General features: G+C 34.7%; 1 long non-coding RNA gene across 1 annotated transcript in view; it reads right to left on the reverse strand.

Annotated features, from left to right (window-relative positions):
* Window positions 1-1,985: 1,985 nt before the first annotated feature.
* LINC02549 (long intergenic non-protein coding RNA 2549) overlaps window positions 1,986-15,152 on the reverse strand; it is a 102,930-nt gene continuing 89,763 nt past the window's right edge. The window contains exon 4 of the long non-coding RNA NR_125854.1: window positions 1,986-2,308. This is a non-coding gene — a long non-coding RNA (long intergenic non-protein coding RNA 2549). The remainder of the gene's footprint in view (window positions 2,309-15,152) is intronic.

A 15,152-nucleotide genomic window follows, 5' to 3' on the forward strand; every position in this document is an offset into this window, starting at 1 on the left:
TATACTAAGGTTTAAAAATATGCTACATATTTTAGACTTACAAAGTGAATTCAAATTAGAATATTTAGATATGGTGATTGTATTTTAAGTAATCATAGTCATTTGTGACTCATAGCTACCATATAGGATGGTGTGATTATAGAGACTGAAAGAAGGCTACTGTTTCTCGATGGCGTCTAAGAAAGTGTATTGAGAGGAATTTGGAGCTAAAAATAGTATATAAAGCAAGCAGGGCCTTCTAGGCAGTGGCATTGCATTTATATCATATTCAAATTACAACGGGAAGTCATTAGAGGGTTTTAAGAAAAAAACTGACCTGATATAATAACCGCTATTAATAGACTGTGCATGCTGTGTAGAAAATAGCCTGTAAAGGGTACAAGAGTAGATGCAGAAAAAACAGTTACAGTCTTCTTTGAGCTACATTGGCAGCATAAGCAGTGGACATATATGGGAAAGATATGGATATGTGTTTTGGAGGTAAAAGCCCACCGGACTGAATTCAACCAGAGAGATCAGATATAGGGCAAGCATAAAGAGAAGAATTAAGAATGACTCTTTTTGTTTGTTTGTTTGTTTGTTTTATTGTTGTTGTTATTCTTTATTTTTGCAGCGGCAAGTGGATGGTGGTAGCATAAACTGAAATAAGAAAGACTTGAAGTTTCAGAGGACAGAAATGGAAATTCCCATGGGTTATGTAAAATTTGAAATGACAGACACAGTTCAAAATTATGAGTAAACAAGTTGTTTTATTAGAGTGGAATTCAGATTTTGAGAGTGTCAGTGTATAGTTATTATTTAAAGTTAAGAGACAATGACATTACCTAGAAAAGGAAAGAAAAGGAGCAGAAAGGGAGAGAGGAGAAGATAAAGGATTAGGTGAGGGGAGGAGAGGAGAAGGGCTGACAATGCCTAAAACAAAAGGCAGAAAATTAGGAGGACAAAGGCTGTTTTCACAGACAGGTAGTCCCAAAAGCCTAGTTGGTATGCTATAGAGAGAGACAGGAGGTGAAGAAATGGAGATAGCAGTACAAATACTATTTACAAGGAGTCTATTTAAAAAGCTGAGAAACAAGGCAGGAATTGGAAGGGGAATGTGCAATGAAGGGAGAGCATTTTCTAAATAATTATTTAATTAAGGTTGAGAATCTGAGATTAAGCCAGTTTAATCAATTTACCCAAACTCTCACAGTACATAGTGAAACCAAGTTGCAAATGCAGATATTTCTGACAGCAAGGGCCAGAACCTCATGCATGTTATAGTGCATTTTATAACGCCTCTTGGGGAGGAAAGCTGAATTTTGGAAAGCCAATATCTTTTAAATGTAGTGGTATCAAGTAAGAGGTATTGATTAGTCTCAGTGATAAGAAGTTGACTTAAGACTGGAATTATGAGAAGAAGGAAAGGGCTGATGAAAAATACATTACCAACAAAATAAGACCCCAACAAAGATGAGGCTGAGCCTCATGAATATGGGAATAAGGAATAGTCAAAGGTGACTCAGGGCTTATAAGTTCCCATACATAGAAAAATATGGTGGTCTGCATCTACCATGAATTTGGCTTTCATATGATGTTCAATTTAATTAATACATTCCATCACAATCCCTCATCTGCTTTTTGGATCTAAATGGTTTTTCACACCTCAGCTGACTAATGATGATTTTGAGCTATCGTTTGGCAGCACTGCCCCCTAGTTGTTTCAGGATTTTTTGTAAAAACATGCTTGACTTTCTAATGTATTTTCCAGAAATCTCTTACGTACGAAAGCAAGTTGATCCTTTTAAGTAAAATATTGGCAAAAACAATGAACAGGAAAAGTTCAAAAGAAAAGATAATAAGCTTAGTTTTATAAAATTATATTCTGATATGACAGCAGATTTAACTTGAAATATGTAGACATATTCATGTGCCAGTTATCAGCACAGCTCTCAAGATGGCCAGGATAGCACATGATAATGCAAAACTTAAATACTAGCCAGTTAACCTTGTAAAATTTAACAGGTTTTATTGAAAAATCTCAGAGCGGTAGCTATTTTTATTTTATTTCATAGACAAGGGGACAAAGGTCTCTGCCAGTGATTTGGTCAAAATCTCTTAGCTACTAAGTGGCACAGCCAGGATTCAACCCAGTTAGGGTTTATAGCAAAGCATGTACTCTCAGCAATAACATGGATGTGGCTTCTGAGAAAGTACTTGAGAGGTACAACCCAGTGATCATCTATGTAGCTTCTTCATGGTAGCTTTTGTAGTATCTCTGTAGTGTGCAGATTCTGTTGCAGGGCACATTGCTGCTACTTTTCAGGGGCTAGAGGAATGGAAGATTGTAGTGTTTATTTTAAAGGAGAGATAGTTATACATAAGAACAATAAAAGAGAGGAAACAGGGATATTAATTCTCAACAGATCAGTGAAATTTGCTAGAGACCATAAATATGTATGATGCAAAAATATTTTCCATCTAACAAGGGCTGTACTCTTTGCCCCACCACCACTCTGAGTTTAATTATTGCTAGTGGCTTCTTTGTTGTTTGCTTTCATTTTAGTATTGCAACTTTGCAATTACCTGCCAATCCTTCATCTGTGTTTGTTTTTTGTTTTTTGTTTTTGTTTTATTTTGGAATCGTCTTCAATCTTATTGCATCCACTCGTATGACAGATGAAGCAAGTCCAGGCCCCACACAAGGACTCAAAAGATGCTCTAATGTCTTTGGACTTGTTGGTTGAGTAACCATGTTAATGATAACTTTGAGCAAAGTTAATGCAATATTTTGTGCCCCCCAAAACATTTTTGAGTTTCTAATTTTGTAAACAATTTTTCATCTTCTTTAGGGCGTAGTAGCCGTTTATTTTCATGAATGTTGAAAAATGATACATTTTTAGATGTACCACAAGATTATAGTTCAAATTCTAGTTCAACACTAAGAAATTCTGAATATATTTGTAGAGAGAGGTCATAGACCCAACCATACAAATTGAAAGTAAAGGTTCAGCAATTGAAGTAATTCATTCATTCATCCAATGAGTCAACATTTATCTCAAGTCTGCTGTGGCCTTGACAAAGGGTTGAATGCTGAAGATGCAGTAATGAATAAACACACATACTCTAATAGCTAATAAGTATTATGAACACAGATATGATAGAAATACACACAGACCACTATACAAATAATATTTAAAATCATGTGCTTGATTTTGTTCAAAAATATCTATTCTGTGAACTGAAAATATCCCTGTGAAGACTAAAAAGCCAAAATGGCATTTCATATTATGAAGAAAATATTCTTAGTCTCTATATAGATTATCACAAGTAATTTAGAAAAATAATACTATTTTCCTAGACTGGAGAAAAATTGAATGTACTTCCTTAACAATGATAGACACAGATACAGATACAGAAAAAAAAAAACAAAACATAGACCCGTTGTTTAGAGGTATTGTGTACCATTGAGAAAATGTCACGGAAAGTATAATTACATATTATCATATTTAACTAGCTGCACTGTGCTGCTTACACTTGTGTTATTTATAATTCCATGAATAACTCTAAAGTCCAAATGTGTCCAGGCTGCTGTAGATTAGGATACAATTTTTACTTTTACTTATCTGAGAATATTCATCTGAAATTAATCAATTTCAGAGACTTTGGTAGATAATATTTATTTGAATTAAAAATAATAAAATCACTTGTATATTTTCTAGTATCTGCAAATGTGGTTGATAGTAGAACATTTAATTGAACAAGCATGGATGCTGAATAATAAAAATTGATACCAGATGTAAACAATTGATATTAGTAAACTGGTAGGCATGGGTTAAATGTGAAATACACTGGATCAAATTGTTTTTCTACATATATTTTTTAAAAAAATTTACATAACTGCTAACCAATAAAATAAAATCAGCGTACCTAATCTATTGGAATAACTTCAAAGATCAATTATTGAACAATTTCCCTTTCTACCAACTTGGGAGTAAAGAATGTTAAAGTTCAAGATAACTAATGGGCAATTCCCCTAAGTAAATAAGGCGAGGTCACATTCACTAGGCCTTAACGCCGAGAGTTCAGTAAAATAGAGGATGCTGGGTTGCAATTCTGAACATTCAGAAAAATAAAAAAGATTAGAAAAAAATGCTACAGGCACAGGCAGATAACTGACATGTGGCAGTGGTAGGTTTCTTTATAACATAACACTTATAGTTCTCTTTATATTGTATTTGCTGTCTTAAGACAAAAATTGTATATTTTGAAATTGGTGCAGAGTATGAAACAAATTTGATTTTAAGTATTTTCAATGGTCTTATAATTATTTCCCAAATTTATGTTCACCCCACATGACTTACCCACTACACATTCTGGATATTAACACCATCATTATGTTGGATATCTTATGTTGGGACACTAGTTGAGGGGATATTTCCCAATGCTAAATTTGTGTAGGAAAAGATTCAAGTTATAAAGCTTAAAGATCATTGAATAGTTAATATTTGGGGAGGTAAAAATCTCACAATCACATATTTGAGATGTAATAGTGAAGGAATAGGTATGTGGTATAAACAAGGGGCAATCAATACTAAGAAAATCAGTGTTTCTTTAGTTGTATCCTCAGCAGAGATTTAAATAACTTTTGTTTTTTTTTTCTCTCTTTTACGGAATTAAAATTGGACCACCCTTTCTTACCCACAATCAAATTCCAGAGAAACCAATTGTGATGCTAATGAAGGAAATAGTCATGGACTTCATATTTCTCTAAGTATTTTCATGGCCATCCATTTGTGGATTGCAATATTTTCCTAACCCAGCTGTCTTTCTGAGTCACTGCCTCTGCCCCATCCTCTTAGATGTGACACAGAACATTTTAATCAGAGAAGCAAAAAGCTTGTTTTGCTGTTAGAACTAATGAGTTTCCAATTGATAAATTACATTAAATAGTAAACATCACATCAATAAATGTCTTGTCCTAAGATATTAAAAAATTAACATGAAGCCAATAACAACATATGTGAAATGTTCAGTTTATTAATAAAGTAATGAAGAAAATTCTATTTGATTGCTGTGCATGTACCATATAGTTGACCAGAATTTACAATGCACGTATATAGTTTATACCTGACAGCATTTAACGGGCTTGGGAAGACCCTATAAACCAAAATTATCTTTCTCACACCTGCCAGGTCATCTGTAATATTTCACATCAAATTTATTTCGTTAGAGTAAGACAGACATTGCCCACTGAAGTTGAGTGTAAAAAAAAAAATTCTTTTCTAGGAAAGTTATGCATCCAAACAACTGGTAAATTATATTAGTTTTGTCCAAACAGCCCTATCTCTTAGATGTGGCCAAAGCCTTTAAAGAACAAGATAAGGCAGATAAAGGTTAATATTAGGCAAAGGCTGAGATATGGGAGATTGCCCCAAGGGACTGACTGCTACAGGAGACATTCTGCAGTGGACCGCGCTGAAATGAGAGGGGAAGCATAACACCTTGTTATGACACTTCAACGGCAGAAAGGACGATGAGCACCCAGTGTGAACTTGGCTAGGGGCCCTGCACATTATCCATCTATTGCTTTCAGCTACTCCATGTGTCAAAGACTATTATCTCCATGGTCTAGATTAAGACACTGAGATGCAGGGAAATTAAGACAGCGAGTAACAGAGGCAAAAGTAGAGGTGGTGATGACAAACTTCCCTGGGAAAATCTACATATGTACATTAAGGTGTATAAGAATAATTCTAATTATTAATAAGAGACAGAAAAAAGAGAAAGAAAGAAAGTGGGAGGAAGGAGAATGAAAGGAAAAGGGAGAAAGAATAAACAAGGAGAAAAAAAGACTTTTTAAAGACAAATAAAAATAAGTAACCAATTATTGAGTTGCATACCTAACCTCAAATAATTTGTAGGTTGTCCAATAATTTGTAGATTGTCCGTGAATGCTTCAAAAAGTATCCATAATCATAATAATTATAATCATGATCATAAGCAATGTGCATCAAAACCAGACCACGAGAGAGTAAATTTGAGTAGTAAGTTGGCGTATAATATTACCAGATATTTCTTGAAATTAGGGAGCGTGTTGTTTGCCATGCTCTAAGCCTCCTCATGAGAAAATACAAATAATTTACCCCAGTCGTGCTTACATATCTCAAATCTTTATTTTGAGCCTTAACTAAATTCATTGACTCTACTAATTTTCAATTATTTTTATGGAGCCAAACTTTTAAGTGAATTTTTATTTTTTGTCTTCTCACTGCTCTGGAGCTTGCATCTTCTTTGAAAGTAGTTATAGGTGACTGACAGGTATGGAAACACTAGAAGAATTCCCACAGAATCATTTCTTTGTGTAGAAAATACAACAAATGCCTATTTATACAGTATGGTTAAGAATTGGGATAGCTTGGTTAATTGCAGTTCTAGTTAGCTGAGGAGTTGTATGGCCAGGGAGGATTAACAGATGGTTATAAAAGTGTACTGTGTGCATTAAATCTATTCTGGGGCTTACCAGTTTTTGCATTCATTTTTAATATATTCATGAAAAGATTTCTTGATGCTGTATAATCAAGCATCTACTATTCAGAAATTGTTTATGGAATAGAAAAGATGATGCTTATACTTGATTGCATTTCTGAGAATGTGTACTTTTTAAGATTTTTGTTTTTACTAAGGTGCCATGATAAACAATTTCTTACCCATGAAATGAATCAGTTGCTATTGTGTCTATTGACCAAAGCTGCATTTTATTCAGAAGACTTGAGGTGGTGACATTCAGGATATGTCTACAGAAGCCACTTTCATGTATATTAATATTATATAATTTACTTCCCAAATAACGTATTTAGTCACATCTATAATGAAGCTGTGGAAAAAATTCTTATGTCACTTTCTTTATTTCAGCAACAATTACAAGGAACTGCATGTCAAATACAATCAGCATTCTGTGAGGCTTTCATTTCATTATTTGAGTGTATAATACACACATCTGTAGAGTAAGTAATATTCAGTTACCTGGGGTCATTTTCATTCATGAGTATTTCAGAGACCAGCCATCTCTAAATGCCTGGGGTCCTTGGAAACTCAAATGTAAACTGTTCATTAAAATTTCAATCATTTCACACCTAGTGTCACATACCATATGTTGGATATCCAGTGAAGAAACTGCATAACACTCTAAAATTCCAGTGTAGTCAGCTTTGGACAACCCTTTGAGCAGGAGTTAACCTGAGCTTCTTGCTCTCCTGAGATTAGGGAAAATGCAGCTGTGAGCCTATTCAGTTCCTACTCTTGTAATGGAGAGGAAATACCACAATGTAGTTTTTGTGGCAGATGAGAGCTGGAATCTCTTCAACCACCACATCTTTTCATAGTGTTGTGTAAAGTATGGTGAAGAGACTGGAGAACTATTACAATTCTGTATTTCTTTATTGAAAGTAGGATTTACTGCTTAGAATAATGGGATTACAGATAAGAGGATATCCATTTCTCAATCACAGCAACCTAAAGGTAAATATAGAAATGTTATTAGCAGACTGAGGAGTATAACTTTGTGAAGAAATTTAGGCATTGATACCTCACATTTTCATATGATGCATCAAAGCGTAGGGATTCAAACATCTTTTGTAATCTGTTACATAAGCATCTTTTCAGAACTGGTTTCCTCTAAATGAGTTATAATTTTTAATTCTTTCTAGAATACTCGATAACACTGCATAAGCCCTTTCATGAAACAAACATTCATACTAACATATTAGTAATATTACTTCCATTTCAAGGGATTCAAGGAACAACCAAATCTTTTCTATGTGTCCATATATTTGGGATTAACAACCACCAAAAGGGAAAAGGAAGGTGTTGGCATCAAGGAGATATTAAATCTATAATCACCCATACAGGAGTTATGTGTAAAAAAGCTCCTAAGAGACTTTAACTCTCAAGTAAGTTATTCTCCCCCTCCCCAGTTTGAGACAGGACATTCCGGGGGTGTGTTTCTGAAACCCAGGGAAGAAAGAGCCCTCACTTGAGCTTTATGGGGAGTAAGATGCCTTACGTGCCCTTGAGACAGCTTGTTCCCCACACATACAGGAGGAGAAGGGGCCAGCTTATGTAACCATTTCTTAAGCATTTGCTTCATTTCCGAACTGAATGTACTCATACATGTTGAAGGAATTTAAAGTACTCAACTAAAATCTGCTAAAGAATATTCATTTAAAACAGTTTTATTCAGTGCCCAGAATTTTATCTAGCACGTGATTTAAAATTACTGATTTATGTTATTTGTAGGCACAGTATTTTGAACAGCAAGAAGATTACTAAGAATTTTACGGTAATACTAAAAACATACCAGAGTTTATTTGACCAATGAAAAATTGTAAAGAAGAATCTAGTCTGTAAAAATATATTTATGCAATGCATTTCACTGTGTGCCCTGTCTCCTAGTTACTACACAGGATGGGAGAAAAGCTTCTTTAATGCATTGTCTTCCCCAGCCTCCTCAACACAAAAAACATACATTTCACACACTCCATTGGGATTGCTTAACTGCAGGGAGAAAATTGCCATCCTAAAAAGAAACGCTGGCATATCCCTGGGCTGAGCCAACCAAGGTGGGGGAAAGAATGTTCCGAGCTAATGTCTTTTTTACTCCAAGGAAGACCAGAGCAGTCACTCTGGACAGTCCATCCTGAATTGTGAATGTTCACAACTATTACTTCATTTGATCACCTCACTCTCTGTCCTTCTCCTCCAGAGCTTTAAGATGTAACCCTACTGCCTCTCCGCACTCAGAGCAGATGAGTCATATTATCATGGATTATTCTTTGTCTTCTCTACATTCCATCTTTTGAGGAACCACTTTATTATCACTTATTAGTAATCTTGTGCAGTCTTGTGTTTGTACTAGGACAAACTCACATTCCCTGCTCATGAGTAAGCATGTGACCAAAACCTGGCCAATCCGAGTAAACTATGACCAGAGGACACTTAGTTATAGCAGTTATTTCAGTGAAATGTACATGATTTAAGCCATGTTAACCAGAATTTCTCCCATAATTTTGTCACTATTGTGGGGAAAGTTTTTGTTCAATGGGATCTCGATTTTTATATATATATATTATATTATATATGTATATATATTATATATTATATATGTATATATATTATATATTATATATGTATATATATTATATATTATATATGTATATATATTATATATGTATATATATTATATATATGTATATATATAATATAAATATATATGATATAAATTTCGAGCCTGATCAATTTATCACCATACAATAATAACTTGCTGGGAATGTGGCCAAGCAAAGAAAGCAGATTAAGATATGCTGAGAAAGAGACCTTATGGCATTGTTTGGAAATCTGGATCTAGCTGTTCCTAAAGCAGAACCTCTCCCCCTCCCTTGCTACATTAGTCAATTTTATTGAATAAATGAGTTTGCACTCACTCTTTGATACCTTTAACTAACAGAATTCTGACTAAATGCAGAAATTGGTACTGGAAAGTGGAATATTGCATGAGAGAGGAATTCAAATATGAATTTAGCTAGGTCAAGGTAAGCAGTAGGACAGAAATGATTTCCCATCTCTTACTGGGAAGTTTATCAACCTCCTTATGTGATGGTAGAGAATATGGTTAAGTTTTTACCTGTTGTATCTTGAAAATCAGACAATGTAAATAAAGTGTCTGGGAGCTTTAGGGCACATTAGAGCCAAGCAAACAAGCAAGCAGGCAAACAAACAAACAAAACAAAAACATCTGTTTTGATGCTAGAGTTTATTGAATGCTTCCTGGAGACTTTAGTAAGGTCCTAAGACCAATTTTGGCTTAAACTAACTTCCCTCAAAGCAGAGAGTAGCAACCATTTCTCCCTAACAAAGGTGACATCCAAGATATCAAAGTTGCCAAAATTTATATGAGCATGTCTTACAGGTTGAAAAAGCCAAATCATATAAATATGATTCCAAGACAGTCAGTGAAAGCAAAGGTGCAAGGGGGAAGGGAAATCAGCAAATTTTGTATTAGAGCCCAGAAGCCAGACACCAAGAAGAAACTTTATCCTGCAAGGCCAGGATTAGTGTGAGATAATTGAGGCACATATTTCAAGCACAAAATTTAAGGAGGCACTAAAAAATCTTGGTAATCAAGAAATATAATATTTAATGAAATATTTTTAAAAATAAAAAATATAAAAATTTACACAGAACAAAACATCCAAATAGTAAATCAAGACATGACTAAACTCAAACAATCATTGTTCACTTCCTGTCCAAAAAATTAAAAAAAAAATAGTGGCCCTAGTATTAACAACTATGTACTCTAATGCAGCCAAAAATAAAGAACAGATTACTAGTCTCACTGCCCTGGGCAGAAACAGTGAAATGGGTTGCTAAGAAACAGAAACCACCAGAATGAAATTTAGATTAAAATGAGACTCTTTGAGCCTAGTTACCAGTCAAGGGAGGAAGCAGGTAGCAGTCAAACAAAAGTCAGCTGAAGTTTTAAGGGCATTATCTTCCCAGAAAAACCTCAACATTGGCAAATTTTCAATGCCTCAGACAATTAGCACATCAATGAGTTTACACAAAAAGGAAGTTGCCTACCAAAACAGTGCTGTTCCAGAAATGGAAATCCTCCAATAATCTCAGATGCAGCCATGGAGGAAAACGTCCAGGGCATGTCCTGCAAGAGGGCAGAGAGAGGCAGTTTGGTCAAGACATTGACTCATCTGCCACTGAACCACAGCCACTGGTTTCTGTCCAGCAGAACTAATATGTGCTCTAGCTCAAAGGCCACTGTATGCTACTTACTATTCTCTTGTTTTTCATGTGAAAATGTTTATTCTATGTGTTTATTCTAGTCTTAGTGCTTAATTTTGGACTTGATATGTTGGGGCTTTTTTGATTCATCATGTAGCTGCAGATTACAAATTTATTTAGTGCAACATCTAATCTGAGTAAGAGTGAGTTATCTCATCCAAAGATTCTAATTTTGGAACTGCATGTAGAAATTGAATTTAAGACTTTGGATTATCAATCTTTGGGGAGAGGGCAAATGCATTTTCAGTATTATGTTAAAGTAGTTGCATTAGGTTAGAACTGGCATTTTTTAACATACATGTATGAATAGAAAATGTTTGTGGACTACTATGCGATGAACCTAGTGAACATTTATTTTTTTCCCTTTCACTGAGAATGAAGTGTCCTTCATTGCATAGTAATTGTCCTTCATTGCATAGCAATCTGACCCTAGTCCAGGTGTTTTTGTGAGACCAACCTTTTTACTCTTTGTGTCTCCCCATTCTACTGCTCCTCACTAGGACTGATCTTTGGACTCAAATCTGGACACTCAAAATATTCCCTTTCATTGCTATATACTCATTTTTCCCAAATCTTTAGTATGAGCTCAGTTTCAGTTCCAATTACCAACCCATATTACATTATCTTTGATGTTCTTTGGTCTCCTCATGAGATAACTTACTGATTTGATACATTCAAATCTTAAACACAAAAACAAAAATAAACAAAAAAAATCCCCCCAAAGGTAAGGAGATGGGTCCTCTGTGCTTATTTTATTTCAAGAAAATAAGTCTCCATGCTCACAGTCAATAGAAAGACAATTTTCTACTTAAAAAAAATAACTATTCACAATAACAAAGACTTGGAACCAACCCAAATGTCCAACAATGATAGACAGGATTAAGAAAATGTGGCACATATACACCATGGAATACTATGCAGCCATAAAAATGATGAGTTCATGTCCTTTGTAGGGACATGGATGAAATTGGAAATCACCATTCTCAGTAAACTATCGCAAGAACAAAAAACCAAACACTGCATATACTCACTCATAGGTGGGGATTGAACAATGAGAACACATGGACACAGGAAGGGGAACATCACACTCTGGGGACTGTTGTGGGGTGTGGGGAGGGGGGAGGGATAGCTTTAGGAGACATACCTAATGCTAAATGACGAGTTAATGGGTGCAGCACACCAGCATGGCACATGTATACATATGTAACTAACTTGCACATTGTGCACATGTACCCTAAAACTCAAAGAATAATAATAATAAAATTAAAAAAAATAAGAAGTTAATTTAGCAGGCTACAGAAGAACCATACAAAGAAATAGAGGAAAACAGCCTCAATGATTTCTTGTGCGTAGCACAAATTGCTCTATTGAACAATTTTGAGTACTTATTCTGTTTCAGAAGCTATCTTTTAAATATATTTCATCATTTAATAGGAGGTGTTGTAATCATTATTTTATAGATGGTAATAACGAAGCATGAAGTATTTATGCTATTTGTTCATCATTGCATAACCATTAAATGGCAGAGTTGGAATTCAAAACCAGATGGCCTACACACAGAATCCAAGCACCTACTCCTTTCATAAGTGCCACTTATTCATAGTACAGGTGAGAAAATCACCGTGGAACGGATGAGTGAACGGATTCAAACCTATTTTATGCCAGACTAAAGGCAAACAATATGCCTGGACTTAAAATGAATGAAGTTCTTAATAAAAGGAACTCATGCCATTGTGTAAGTCATGCTACACAGAGAGAAATGTTGTTTGCGCCGAGAACAGCCCTATCCCCACAAGGGTGAGTGAGCACTGACCATGTTTATACAATCTCTACATCCGTATCAAAGGGGTAGAATTACCTTTATCCCCTGTGCTACCCGTTGTTCTTTCTTCCCATTCCCTACCCCAAATATGCACACAATTACTGCCCTCAGCACATTTAGGCAAATGTTGCCTCTGACCTACCTCTTCTGACATTTGCTATTTAAGAATATTCAACAAAGTGCTTATTTTATAGGCCTTGTTTTATTTTTTGTTACTTTCAGCAGGAAAGCTACTCACCATAAGTGCTTTATTTTCACTGTGCTTCCAGCTAAATCCCGCACAGTAAAACAAATTAAGCAGATGGCAGACTTAAATGTTAAAGATTGGAAAAAAATGTATGAAGAAATTTTAGGATACATTAGAATATAGGATCGCATATATTGAAGTGAGATGAATCAGAGGTTAAAGTCACAGAGAATTTTAAAGCATTTAGCTTCAGTGAAGATATATGAATGATTCAGGACAGGAGCTGAAAGTGTCCTCTCATGACAAGTGTGCCTTCATAATGCTTAACTCCCAAATTAGTCAAATGCCTTATGTGGCTTTCTTGCCTCATGAGGTCATGCATATTACCACTGCTATCTTTCTTTCTTTTCAGAGTAAAATATTCACAGCCTCAATCATCATGGGGAAGGTTCAAAGGACAGAGGTTTATGTGGTTTAATATGAGTGATGCCTATGGAGAGTCCAGATAAAAAAAGAAAATAAATTTTCATCCTCTGTCTATTACTAGTTTCTCTGAATTCTCCTATTAGGGAATATACATTCACTGTAAAAATTTTGAGCTCTGTTAAAATGCAAATTTCCCTGGGAGCATTCAATCTCATGAGTCATTTTCAACTATGAGTAAACGAAATTAGCAGATGATTTCCTAAGAACAGGTTTGAGTAGAGAGAAGGAAGGAGGAAGCATAAGGCTGCCAAGGACCAGGATTAAGTCCTTAAACTCAAGTTCCTAAGATAGGAGTGTTCTAAAGTCAAAATATGTCTCATAAAATATTATCTCAGAGCTAGTCTTGATATTCATAAATTTAAAGATAAGTAGTATTGTTTTGAATTAGTTTAAACAGAAAAGTTGTAAAAGCAAGGGAAAAACAAAGAAGCCAACATGTATTTAGTTTCTTTTATATATTAGGGGTTTTACTCTCTCCAGCCGTCACAACTCTCTGTGATATTTTCATGAACCCCACTTTATCTATGAGGACAATGAGCCTCAGAAATGTTACTTGACTTGACAAAGGTCACACATCTGATAAATAGTGTAGAGGAAAGATTCTGATTCCAATTTCTCTGTAAAGCTTGGGTTTTCCCCACACCAAATGGCAATGGCTTTCTGGTGTCAAATAACCTAACTGTGTGCTGACATTTAAAAATCATTAAACAGAGAATGATAATTATATTCCAAAAAATAAAGGGACAAAACATGCTAATACCAATACAATATAACTAATATCTTTGGCTGTGATCAGGAAGATGTAATTAGAGAAAAATGGAAGAATTGTTAGAAGAAGGGAAAGAGGACATACCCAAGGGGACATAGAAGGCAACTTGAACTAACTTATAATTGCACCCAGCTGCCACTAGGATCCACTTCAATGCTCATGTAATTTCCATAGACCCAAGGCTCACTTATTTCTGACACAGCATATTAATCTAAAGACAAAAAGTGTAGGGGTTGATTAAAGACCTTCAAAACTCTATCAAGATAATTTAATGGTAAACGAAGAAAAAAATATTCCAGTGAGACGTTTTAAGAAAATATCAGCTAGAAGTATTTTATTTTTATTATGTTGAAATCGAGGCATGTCATACCTAGTCTTTTTTTCTCTGTAGTTAAAGTTTCGTGACATTCTATGAGCCAGAGCAAGTAGCAATATACAATTAGACTAGCCTCCTTTCGTGGCATAGACTTTTGGTGGGACAAGAAGCATTATCTCTCCAGTATAAATGACAAAGAAAGTCTGCACGGGCATGCCCAGGCAAATGAAAAGCTACCTTTGAAGTGTTTATATTACAGAAAAAAAGACTCTAATAATTTATATTAACTACAAAAATACCTCCAGAAGATTAGAATAATAGAAAAGCATTTATAATATCCAGGAGGGAAGAGCCATATAAAATAGAACTGAGACTATTTCCTTGGGAAGTTTGTAGAGGAACGCATTTTAAATAAAGTTATGTCAAAAATATAATTTCTTATTTTATGTGAAAGTGTTTGAATAGCCAGTCATGGTTACAGAGAAACCATGTTTTGTATCTAGTGGTACAAATTAACATATGTATCATCTACAGAGCTTGAGGTCATAGGCTTCTAACACTTTCTTATTTTCTTATAGATTATGTATTCTTGATAGTAGTGATATATTTTTGTTTGAAATACAATTAAATTTCTGAATTTTGTATTTAATAAAATATTAAAGTTTACAAACAAACTGTTATCAGAAGGAACAGTAATTTTCCCTCAGATATGTATAATGAAAAATAATATTTTCAGAGC

This window comes from Homo sapiens, chromosome 6 (assembly GCF_000001405.40).
Source record: "Homo sapiens chromosome 6, GRCh38.p14 Primary Assembly".
Taxonomy (NCBI): domain Eukaryota; kingdom Metazoa; phylum Chordata; class Mammalia; order Primates; family Hominidae; genus Homo; species Homo sapiens.